Source organism: Homo sapiens, chromosome 6, assembly GCF_000001405.40.
Source record: "Homo sapiens chromosome 6, GRCh38.p14 Primary Assembly".
Lineage (NCBI taxonomy): Eukaryota > Metazoa > Chordata > Mammalia > Primates > Hominidae > Homo > Homo sapiens.
The window spans coordinates 10,900,477-10,913,246 of NC_000006.12; the positions used below are offsets into that span (position 1 = coordinate 10,900,477).

Here is a 12,770-nt window from a genome sequence, read left to right on the forward strand (position 1 = left end):
TGGGTAGCTAGCATTACAAGCGTGTGCCACCACGCCTGGCTAATTTTTGTATTTTTAGTAGAGATGGGGTTTCACTATTTTGGCCAGGCTGGTTTTGAACTCCTGACCCCAGGTGATCCACCCACCTCGGCCTCCCAAAGTGCTGGGATTACAGGCATGAGCCATCGCGCCTAGACGGAGCCAGAGCTCTTATAAGGGCACTCATCCCATCATGAGGATCCCACACTCGTGACCTCATCTGAACTTCCCTTACCAAAGGCTGCATCTCAAATACCACACTGAGGGTTAAGGCTCCAACATATGAATTTCGGGGGGGGACACAGTCCCATCTATAGCAACGACAGTTTGTGCTTGGAGCCCACTCTGGTCACCTTAGCGGGGCTGGCCTCTCTGAAGTGACAGGTTTTCACATGTGGCCTTTGACAGTTGTCTTGTGCGAGCTTTATGCCCAGGCTCTGCAGAGCTACTGTCTAATCCCTCTCTCCGAAGTAGAAAGATGTTTTCACTGAATTTCTTCTCACCTCCTTCTGCAATTGACACAATTAATCACTCCTTCCTTTTTGTTCTGAAACTTACGTCTTCTTACTTATTTTTATGATTCTTTTGTTTGTGTTCTGCTATATGGATTATGACTTTCTTTCAATCACAGTTTATCCCTCTCTAGTGATTTGAATGGCTTATGTCCTACTTTTATTTTACCGGTAGTTACCCTTAATTTAATTACTAACATCAAAAAATGATGGTACCTTATTTCTTCTTCTTTGTATATGACAACAAGTTTAATGTGTTAAAGAAATGTAAGAGTATTAGGCTGTGAGAGGGACATGGTCAGAGCTTTTCATCGTTTGAAGATGTCTTTCTGGCTTTTATACAATATTACTCTCACTTTGCAGTCTTTGCCCCTTACAATCCTGTTGCATTATCTTCTGATATTAAGGGTTGAAAGCGTGTTTATTTTACATGGTTCTTGGTGACTTATTTTGAATCCAAATCTTACTTTAGCTCAGGAAAATTTGTTCTTTGATACTTTTATTACAGCAGAGTTTCTCAATTTTGGCAATATAGATATTTTGAACTGGGTAATTCTTTGTCGTGGGTGCTGTCCTGCGCATCAGAGGGTGTTTGGCGGCATCCTTGGCCTCTACCCTCTAGATGCCAACAGCATCCATCCCCACGTCATGACAACCAAAAACATCTCCAGACATTGCTAAGTGTCCCCTGTGGGGCAAAATCATCTCTAGTCAACAACTGCTGAGGTAGAGTGCTTTGGGTGTATTTAACAGAGTATCTAGTTCAAATAGGCTTAAATGATAAAGACAACTTACTGGCTCAAGGGACTGAAAAGTCTAGAGGTGGGCAGTTTGGAAATAGCGTGGCTCCGCCCCATTTCTCTGCAGCCCAAAATTTCAGTTCTGCCTTTCTCAGAGTCTAGTCTTTGCTCTCAATGTGGTTTCCTTGTTGGTTGCAACCAGAACTTTGTGCTTCCTGGTTCACATCTGGGGAGAAAGTTTCACTTTCCTCAACCAGCAAATGAAAGCCCTAGCTTTGCTCTGATTGGATGCCCTGCCCTCCAGATGAACCAGTCACTATGAAAGGATAAATGGGCCACCTCTGCCTAGTTTAAGCCAGTCTAGATTTACCCCTGGAACTGATCGGTCTCACCCAAATAGCACAATTGCTCCGTAACAGAGGAGTGGGGAAGGATGGTGGGGAGGCCACCAAAAAGTCCATTACAGTTACTTTCTGTTCCCTCTTTGTAAGATTATCTGTCACATCTTTGTTTTTATCTTCATATGCATCTTTTCCTCGCTCACTTTCCCCCCTGCATTTTGACAGCAGTTCTCAAGTTCTTCTTAGAAGAAGAATTACCTGGCTTGAAATATCAATATTGCCAAAGTTGAAAAAGTCTGCTGTAATAAAAGTATCAGAGAATTAATTTTCCTGAGCTAAAGTAAGATTTGGTTTCAAAAAAGTCACCAAGAACCATGGAAAATAAACGCGTGTATGCGTGTGTGCACATGCTCACAACCCTTAATACCAGAAGACAATGCAACAGGATTGTAAGAGGCACAGCCTGCAAAGTGGGTTATATTGTAGAAAAGCCAGAACGACATCCTTAGTGAAAAGCTCTGACCGTGTGTAGGAGTCATTTTCTTACTCTTCCAAACATAAATTTGATGCTTTGAAATTATACTTTCAGGGAAAATTCAGATGTTGGATTCCTTCCTACTTAGCTTAGGATTCCTGGTGACAGAAAAGACTGTAAATCATTTGCTTCAACAGGAGGTGAGTTGCAAGTAACAAAACAGGTAATAGTGGTTCCAGAAACCTAAAAGAAGATCGTACATAGGTCTCTGTTTTCTTTCTTCTCCATGAATGTCTTCTCAATTCCAAAAAGGGCTTGAAGACTTTTAACTGCATTTTGCACGCTGTCCCTCGAGAAGAGAGAAAAAAATTCCCTTTGTCAGAAGGCATGTGTCATCTTATGTAAGTGACTTTGTATAAGTTACGTGCTGTAGTAAGGGTAAAATCTCTCATGAGTGTATGGCTTCAGTCTGTGTTCTACTTAGACCTGATTATGTCCTTTCTCTCTTGGGTAAATGCTTTGTGCACCTATTATGTGTCAGGCACTATGCTAGGTGATAAAGACGGGCTGAGGTAAAAAGAAGACATTGTGCCCAGGCGCCGTAGATCACGCCTGTAATCCCAGCACTTTGGGGGGCCAAGGCGGGCAGATCATGAGGTCAGGAGATCGAGACCATCCTGGCTAATATGGCAAAACCCCATCTCGGCCAGGCGTGGTGGCTCACGCCTGTAATCCCAGCGCTTTGGGAGGCCAAGGCGGGTGGATCACGAGGTCAGGAGATCGAGACCATCCTGGCTAACACAGTGAAACCCTGTCTCCACTAAAAATACAAAAAATTAGCCGGCTGTGGTGGTGGGCACCTGTAGTCCCAGCTACTCAGGAGGCTGAGGCAGGAGAATGGCGTGAACCTGGGAGGTGGAGCTTGCAGTGAGCCGAGATCGCGCCACTGTGCTCCAGCCTGAGGGTGACAGAGTGAGACTCTGTCTTAAAATAATAATAATAAAAAAAGAAACTCTATCTCTACTAAAAATACAAAAAATTAGCTGGGCTTGGTGGCACACACCTATAGTCCCAGCTATTCAGGAGGTTGAGGCAGGAGAATCGCTTGAACCCAGGAGGCGGAGGTTGCAGTGAGCTGAGATTGCACCACTGCACTCCAGCCTGGGTGATAGAGCGAGACTCTGTCTCAAAAAAATAAAAATAAATAAAAATAAAAAAATAAAAAAGACATTCCTAGATTTTTCCTTTTTAATAATTATAATTTTTTTTTCTTTTTGCTTCAACGTTGTGAGGCAAAATGTTTTCTCAGGCTATATTTTTTCATTGTGAATGTGAACTAAATTAGTGACTCATGGGAGAATGTTAAGAGTACAGACGGTAGAGCCTGCGTGGCTTCAAATCCTAGTTTTGCCACTTTTGCCAGCTGTCTATGAGCACAGCTCTAACTTCATCACACCTCAGTTTGTTTGCCTGTAAAATGGAGTCAAAGTAATACTACTTGATAGTTATTGTAAAGGTTAAATCAAGCAATCCATGTAAAGTGATTAGCACATTATCTGCTAAAGAGGAAGTGCCCCAAGGTTTCCAGTAGCTACACTAATGGGGCATGGAATTTTGATTGCTTTTCAAGTGATGGATTTTTTGTTTGTTGGTGACCCAAAGTCATTGTTGCGTAATTCTTGGGACATGAGATTTGGAGGTAAGGTTGTAATGTGTGACCATACAAACAACAAAACCAGCACCGTGTTTTGAAGTTGGAACCTGAACCCACGACTGCGCTAACAACCAGCCAGCGCGGAGGACATCATGGTGGCACATTATTTGCGTGGTGTGTGGCCACAGTGTAGGGCCTGAAATGGGTGATTTGTGAGCATGAAACTCACTGCTGTCGTGTTTGTCCATTTAGTCTTTGCAGGATATAGTTTTTACACAGAATTTTTCCTAAACAAATTTTTATTTAATACGTTAGTGAAATCACTACTCTTAGTGGTGTATTTAGATTTGGAGAGCAGCTGATCTCATGTTTTCTCCTAAGTTTTCAAACTAATCTTTGAACACACTACCTTATTGTCTGTGTGTTCTAGAAAGTCTGGAATGTTCTGGACTTCAAAGGTAAAACCTGCAAGTATAAAATTAAGCAGAATTAATTTCGCTCAGTGGTACTGTTTTCTGGTTTCTATTTAATAGTAACAAGTCGAGCTGCTTCTTACAAGAGACTGAACTATCACAAGGTTTCTCAACAAATCTGTTCTTTAAAATGGGAGTTATTTCAGGCATTAAAAGATCGACTCGGCCGGGCATGGTGGCTCACACCTGTAATCCCAGCACTTTGGGAGGCTGAGGCTAAGGTGGGCGGATCACTTGAGGTCAGGAGTTCGAGACCAGCCTGACCAACATGGTGAAGCCCCGTCTCTCTTAAAAATACAAAACATTAGCTGGGTGTGGCGGGCACCTGTAATCCCAGCTACTTGGGAGGCTGAGGCAGGAGAATTGCTTGACCCTGGGAGGCAGAGTGCATTGCAGTGAGTCGAGATCGTGCCACTGCACTCCAGCCTGGGTGACAGAGCCAGACTTGGTCTCAAAAAAAAAAAAAAAAAAAAAAAAGAAGAAGATCGACTCACACTTGTTAGCATTTATTTGAAATTCTGAGTGAATATACAATTCAGGAGTCTGCATTAGTTACAATAATGTAATAACTTAATTCTATTACATCTCTAAATTATTATTATTATTACCATTTTTTTTTTGAGTCGGAGTTTCACTCTTGTTGCCCAGGCTGGAGTGCAATGGCACGCTCTCGGCTCACTGCAACCTCCGCCTCCCGGGTTCAAGAGATTCTCCTGCCTCAGCCTCCCGAGTAGCTGGGAATACAGGCATGTGCTGCCACACCTGGCTAGTTTTGTGTTTTTAGTAGAGATGGGGTTTCTCCATGTTGGTCAGGCTGGTCTCGAACTCCGAACCTCAGGTGATCTGCCCGTCTCGGCCTCCCAAACTGCTGGGATTACAGGCGTGAGCCACTGTGCCCAGCCTAGATTAGTTTTTAAAATCAGATCAAGCAGCTCATAGGAAAGAATCACTGTCGTATCATTTCCTGCAAGTATCAAACTGTGTAAAAGGACATACGCCCTCACAGGTTGGTGCGGTGATTATAAAACTCCAGAATTAATCTGATGAACCCTTAGAGATCATCAAATTGAATTCACTTTACAAGAGGGAAAACAGAACCTCAGAGTGTATATAGTAGTTCTAGCATCTTAAAAAATAACATCTAGATCATTAATATATAAACTTGAGAAGGTTTTTCCATAAATATGTGTTGGCATTAAGGAAATTTTGATGCTGAATTTGAAATAGTTTCAGAAACATATACTTTGGTTTTAAAGTTTAATGCTAGTGTAGTAAAGTTTTACCTCTTGATGTTCACTTCAGTTAAATGTGATTTATCTAAATGTTTCAGGAAAGACCTTGCAAGGACACTCTTGACTGTGGGTGGTAAGAAATTTTAGAATTTTCAGTATTAGAATATTAAATATTGGACACTGGGGGTTTTATGAGCATCTTGGGACTATGGGGAATAAATTATGGTTAAATTGAAGATAGGAATCAGGGTTTTATTTTAAATTTATTTTGAGAGATTTTAGCATGCTGGAAACTGTAAAGAATAATTCGTGAGTACTCATTTACTCACCAGCCAGCTTTGTCACAATTTAGCATTTTACCGCATTAGCTTCAAGTCTGTTTTTAAAGAAAAAAAAAACAGTGTCATGGATAAAGTCCCCTGTGTCCATGTTCCTCATCCCATTTCCCTCTCCTTGACTCAGATTTGTTTTTCGTTCCCAAGCATATTTTTCTACTTTTACTCTGTACATCCCTAAACAACATGCATTATCATTTTGCAGATTTTAAAAGCATTCTATAAATGCCATTCCTTTTTACCCTTAGAATTGTTTGAAATTTAAACATGTTGCTACATGTAGTTTTAGTTTATTTGCTGTGAAATACTACAAGTTATTTTGGGATTTTATTTTGTAGTAGAAACTTTTTTTTTTTTTTTGATGGAGTTTTGCCCTTGTTGGCCAGGCTGGAGTGCAATGGCGCGATCTCGGCTCACTGCAGCCTCCGCCTCCCGTTTTCAAGCGACTCTCCTGCCTCAGCCTCCCGAGTAGCTGGGATTACAGGCACGCACCGCCACACCTGGCTAATTTTTGTATTTTTAGTAGAGACGGGGATTTCACCATGTTGGCCAGGCTGGTCTCGAACTCCTGACCTCCGGTGATCCTCCTGCCTCGGCCTCCCAAAGTGCTGGGATTACAGGCATGAGCCACCACGCCTGGCCAGTAGAAACATTTTTAAGGCTGTTTGATGATTTGGTTTGAATGAGTATTTTAATATATTTAAAATATAACACCCATAAATATTATTTATTTAAAAATTGTTATATGCCAACCTCTTGTTTAGATTTTTATTGTATTTCTTAAATACTCAATTTAAATGATTTTGGCTAGGCATGGTGGCTCATGCCTACAATTCCGGCACTTTGGGAGGCCGAGGTGGGCAGATTGCTTGAACCCAGAAGTTCAAGACCAGCCTGGCCAACATGGCAAAACCTTATCTCTACTAAAAACATAAAGATTAGGTAGGCATGATGACACATGCCTGTAATCCCAGCTTCTTGGGAGGCTGAGGCAGGAGAATCACTTGACCCAGGAGGCAAAGGTTGCAGTGAGTCGAGATTGGGCCACTGCACTCCAGCCACCACTGCACTCCAGGGTGACAGAGTGAGACAATCTCAAAAAAAAAAAAATAGAATTTAAATGATTCTAATTACTCCAGGATGCATTTTGCTGTGGTAACTTTTTAAGACACAATGCTAGGCTTCTCAGATGGAGTTTCTTAGAGCAAGTGCTAAATCTGGAACTCATTTTTTCTTTTGCTTTGTGCCCAGAATTATCTATGTCTACTATGTTTTTAATCTCTAGATTATGACCAGCAGGTTGCTATTTCTGAAGCGCTGTGTAGACTGACGATTAAAAAATCAAGGGATGAACTTGTCCATAAATGGTTTGATGATGAAGTCATTGCTGAAGCTTTCAAAGAAATTAAGGATCGAGAATTTGAGACGGTGAGATTCCTGGCCATGCGAATTTCTTATTAGCCAATATTTATTAAGCATCCGCTGAGAACTTTCCTGTGCATTGGGCTTACGGGAGGATTTTTTTGCTTAAGTGTGATTACACTGCCATTCTTGAACTTGTTTCTCACTTAGGAGAAACAATTTGAGGGTAATATGAACAGAATATTTGTGAGCTAGATATAGGGATACAGATAGGTTTTTTTTTTTTTTTTTTGACAGAGTCTCACTCTTGCCCAGGCTGGAGTATAGTGGCGCAATCTCAGCTCACTGCAACCTCTGCCTCCTGGGTTCAAGTGATTCTCCTGCCTCAGCATCCCAAGTAGCTGGGATTATAGGCACCTGCCACCACACCTGGCTAATTTTTTATTTTTAGTAGAGACCAGGTTTAGCCATGTTGGCCAGTCTTATCTTGAACTCCTGACCTCAGGTGATCCGCCCACCTTGGCCTCCCAAAGTGCTGGAATTATAGGCATGAGCCACCATGTCTGTCTAGGACTTCTTTATAGGAGACAGAACTAGGTGAATTTGATGGATCCAGTTAAAAAAAAAGTCTTGGAAGGGTGAGCAATTTTCAATGAACCTTGAATGGTAGGAAGAATTGAAGAAGAAATCAGAGCATTTTTGCCTTGCAGAAGGCAGCTGCTGTGATGGCAGGAGGCTGAAATGGACATGGCCTGGCAGAAGAGTATTATGGGGTGGTTGTGTTGTGAGCCATCTGGCCTGTACAATTTGGAGAAACAATACTTTTTTTTTTCTTCTCTGCAAGCTGGGCTTCCTGTGATTGTGTCCTCAGGCTGCACAAAAATAGCGTATGGCTTTGCTGTGTATTCACCTTCATCTTAAAATAGCTAGAACATTTTCCCTCTTCTTTTAAAAAGTTTTTAAAATGAGGGTTAGACTCTTGTAGGAAAAGGTAGAATTCTTAATAACAGTACTCATGTTGACAAACCTTTCTCGTCAAAATTCCTATGTAATCAAGACTCTTATGAAATATGGACCTTTATATTTCCTCAGACTCTGAGCCTACTGTCATATACTGCATAAAGTAATTCTTTAGCCAGGATTCAGTATAATCTCAGTGGAAAGACCATGAGCTTTGGGGCTATCCCAAACTGGGTTGAACCTAGAGTTTGAGCCCCACCTCTCCAATTTATGGGATGTATGCATTTTGGCAAGGTAGTTGACTTGTGAAGCCTGAGTGACCTCATCTGTAAAATGGGACTAAAGCCCACCTCAAAGTCTTGAGAACTCAGTGAGAGAAACTGAAAGGTCCAGGGCTGTTGTAGGCGCTCACGTGTTAATTTCCTTTCTGCTCTTTGTCATTTCTCATTTGCAGGAAAATTTGATGAAAATAGAGAAATGTAATTATCTTGTTTCCAAAATCATTTCCTTCCCCAGAGCTATCAACTTCTCAATTGAATTTTTTTTTTTTTTTTTTTTTTTTTGAGACAGAGTTTCTTTCGGTCTTGTTGGTCAGACTGGAGTGCAGTGGCATGATCTCGGCTCACTGCAACCCCCGCCTCCTGGGTGCAAGCAATTCTCCTGCCTTATCCTCCCGAGTAGCTGGGATTACAGGCGTGTGCCACCACTCCCGGCTAATTTTGTATTTTTAGTAGAGACGGGGTTTCTCCATGTTGGTCAGGCTGGTCTCCAATTCCCAACCTCAGGTGATCTGCCCGCCTCGGCCTCCCAAAGTGCTGGGATTACAGGCGAGAGCCACCACGTCCGGCCCGAATTGCTTTTTTGCATGAAAGGCTTACACTGCTGAGGTCTATTTACTCCTGAATGGTAGATCAGGAGCATAAGGAGTGTTGACTGCAACAGTCAATTCTTGCTAACAAAAGGGAACAAAAACTTGGATCTGTCTCTTTGTTTTTAGAATGTTGGGGGGCAGCAGATTTCTTCCTGAGAGCTGTTGGTTAGGAGAACTCTAATAATAGTCTTTGTTCTTAGAACATATGCTAGGAGAAGACAGTGAGATAGAGAACTCCCAAAAAGGAAAGTTGGCCGTAGATAATACACCCAGATCACAGTTAATACATTTTGTAGGTTTGTGGTTGGTTAGTGCTGTGCAGGTGTTAGGGAGGTGGATGCCCAATGGGTCGGTCAAATATTGTAACCTAGGTCATCAGTAAGACGTATTTATCTTGCTTACACTTCTGACCCAGTGAAACATAACCAGGCATTTAACTTTTGGAGACCTAAGTATTCCTCAGCTGAAAATCTAATGGCTGCAGGGAGCAAAGGTTCCTTCTGGAAACATGATCCTGGAGCCTCCTCTTTGTGGCATGAAGTATTGTTAACATATAATAACAAATCCTTGTAAAGCCTCATTGATGTTACTGCCTCCTGGTCATTTAGAAGCAAACACTGGCCTCTGTATGCTAAGGTAGTATTAACTAAGACATCTTGATTTTTTTTTAATAAAAGTTTATATCATTTGCTTTGAAGGACAGTAGACGTTTTCTCAATCACCTAAACAACAGACTTGGTGACCAAAGAAGGTAAGTTGTGTCTCTGAGCATTATTGACTAGTTGTATTCTGAAAATGTCTAATATTTTAAAAGAACAGTTTAGGGTCTGTTTCATTTTAGGAGAGAATATTGGGTACATCATTTACAGAGTATACTGAGTTGTCCATTGAGTGGAAACCTGAGAAGATCAGACCCTTTCTGCCTAGTGGCTTGTTCGAGTGTGTTTAAAAATTACCTCTATCAGTTTTATTATATTTGTGACTTGGGGTATTTTAAAATAATACATTCTTTAAAGAGTTCATAGACTTTATGAAGAACAATTTCCTGACTTGAGGTTGCTGGAGGTAGTTGTATCGTGAACAGTTAAGTCCTTGGTCAGACAATATTTGCTAAATTCACTCCTTTTGTTTGGGAATCTGGCTGAGTAACTGGGTTGAGATATAGTACTAGTAAACCTGGCTTACTGACTGCCAGATGGAGATTTGAAATCTACCCATAGTAGGTCTCCATTTGCAGGCTTGAAACCCCCTATTGTACTCTGTACGAGGAGACTTAATGGCATACTCTAGTTATAAGTGCTTGTTGCGGAACGTCTGTAGATGTGTTTAAGATTCATTCATGTTTTATTTTTTTAATTGTGAGGTATTTTGCAGGGTGTATTCATTTCCGTGTATTGCTGCTTTTGCTGATGAGCATGAGGTATGTTCATCCCTCTTGGAGGTCCTGAGGGCGGTGTGCAGTGAAACCAGGAGTTAGGTTTACGTGGTTAGATCAAACTTTTGCTCTCATAACTCAAAAGGGCTTTTTAAAAAAGGATGCCAACGTCTTCTAATGACCTCAGTTCTCAAACCGATCATACCATACCCTAACCAGAATGCGTTACCAGTAAGTTTAAGGCCTCTACTGTTACTACTGGAAAAAGGAATTTTAGGGTCTGTACTGTGTACATGAGCACAGTTACAGGAAGCTTGCCTCATTTTACCCTATTCATGGGTAACATAATTCATGCCTAGACTGGGGTAAAAAGGATGATTTCCTTGCTTCTTTCCTTCCGGTTTATGCCCTGTCCTCTTATTCTCAACAACTGGGGCCACTGTCCTTTCTCTCTCTCTCATTCTACCTTGCACTTTATAGTCCAAGGTTGACCAGTTTCTTCCCCACCCCCCATTTGGTTTCTAGAGGAACAAGGTCCTTCATATAAAAGGGCCCTAACCTACAGCATCTCAGTTTCAGGCTAAAATATTTAGAGGTCTTGGAAGCTTGACTTTGTTTGAGTGTCCTGAACCCTGTCTTCAGAATGTCCTCATTCATGATTTCTTTGTTTTGGGTTCAGAGTCCCCTTCTTGGCCTCTCAGAGCTAAACTTTCAGCTCATGGCTACACTACACATTCCTTCTCTCTAGAACTGAGTCTGGTAGGCTGATTCTTGTGTCTCAATTCTGTGTATTTTCCCTTTGGTTGTCTGAAGATTCTGCTCTCTGTTTGGTTTTTCTTCTTTCTATGACATCCAAATTTCCATTCACTTCCATCAGGGCCCTTACCCTGACCCTTACATTGGCTTCCAGGAACATGTATTGTGGGTGAAAGCCCTCATTCACCTCTGTAGCTATTAAAAGGTAGACATGTATGATACAAAGGAAAGATGTCCAAGAAATACAACTTATTGGAAAGTTGGATTGTAGAATAGTAAGTCTAGTGTTTTATCTGTTGTTGGGGAATAAAAGCTTTTTTTTTTTTTTTTTTTTTTTTTGAGACGGAGTCTCACTCTGTTGCCCAGGCTGGAGTGCCATCATGTGATCTCGGATCACTGCCAACTCCGCCTCCCGGGTTCATGCCATTCTCCTGCCTCAGCCTCCCGAGTATACTTGTTGATACATGTCTAGAAAACATCTGGGAGGAAACAAAGGCATTGTTAATGGTGCCTATGGAAAGGTACTTATGAAAAACTGAGGGGCAGAGAAGATGTTTACTGTTTCTATAAACACCATACTGTTAGAATCTTTCTTCCCCTGTTTTAACTCTAAGCATCTATTTATTTTAGAATAATTAAAATGAAGGAAATTTGAAGTCTTCAAGTCTTAGCTGTACTCTAATGGTTGGAAGATAGATGGCAAATCACTCATGTTTGGTTACAGTATCTCCTTCTCCAGAAGTTTCCATCCATATGCAGTGTGGCTTGTTACTGATTCAACATAGAACTGTTTTCTCCGTGATTTTCATTAGAAAAAAAATTGTGTGGATAGAATAATGTGACACATTTAAATATCTATCAAATATGCTAAGGATAGTGGGATTTTTGGAGGGGTGAGGAGGAAATGGCTGAGTTCTATAAAATTGAGATCCTTCTGTTTTGCACAAAAGAGTCAGTCAATAGAGGCCCTATAATGCTAGGATAATGCTGTTCCAGGAAGAGCACAAATTCTATTTTCAAGGGAATAATGTTTATCTGACCCTATAGCATGATTTTTATGTGTATAAGTCATGCTGAAATGATCTCTTACAGATGAGAAAACCAGCGGATGAAAAATTAGAGAAATTTTGGATCGACTTCAACCTAGGAAGTCAGAGTGTCACTTTTTATATAGACAATGCTGAGGTAATGATGTTCGATTCTTGGTTAGAACTAAGCCTTTAGAGATCTTTTTTATGTAAGTATGTGTTTTGCACTCATGAATTTCACTTATTTATTTTCCCAAGAATACTCTATGGGACTCAGTGACACTTCCGAAGGAAGCGGTGATGAATTTCAGCATAACAGGTAATATGATACATTTAAACAACCCACGTCCAGTTCCAAATATTATTTCTGTTGTATATGCAGTGTGTATTTATTTAATTCTAGGGCATATTTTGACCATGCCTTGAGGTAGGAAGGCTGTATGGTATGATAGAAGGTGCGCTGTCACAGGTTTGTGACTTCTATGCTTTGTGACCTTGGGATTAAATTATTTGTCTAGTTTTTTCATTTTAAAAATGTTTATAGATCCTCACAAAATTAAAAGTAGAACTACCATATGATCCAGCAATCAATTAACAATGCTTTTCCCCAAAGTGCTGCTTTGGTTTGAAAGAGTCTG

General features: G+C 41.0%; 1 protein-coding gene across 1 annotated transcript in view; it reads left to right on the forward strand.

Annotated features, from left to right (window-relative positions):
• Positions 1–12,770, forward strand: part of SYCP2L (synaptonemal complex protein 2 like) — an 87,258-nt gene that overhangs the window by 13,425 nt on the left and 61,063 nt on the right. Inside the window, exons 7-14 of the mRNA NM_001040274.3 lie at positions 2,201–2,286; positions 2,399–2,487; positions 5,544–5,578; positions 7,066–7,208; positions 9,672–9,724; positions 10,348–10,393; positions 12,197–12,289; positions 12,391–12,451. Coding sequence (NP_001035364.2) covers positions 2,201–2,286; positions 2,399–2,487; positions 5,544–5,578; positions 7,066–7,208; positions 9,672–9,724; positions 10,348–10,393; positions 12,197–12,289; positions 12,391–12,451 — 606 coding nt within the window. The remainder of the gene's footprint in view (positions 1–2,200; positions 2,287–2,398; positions 2,488–5,543; positions 5,579–7,065; positions 7,209–9,671; positions 9,725–10,347; positions 10,394–12,196; positions 12,290–12,390; positions 12,452–12,770) is intronic.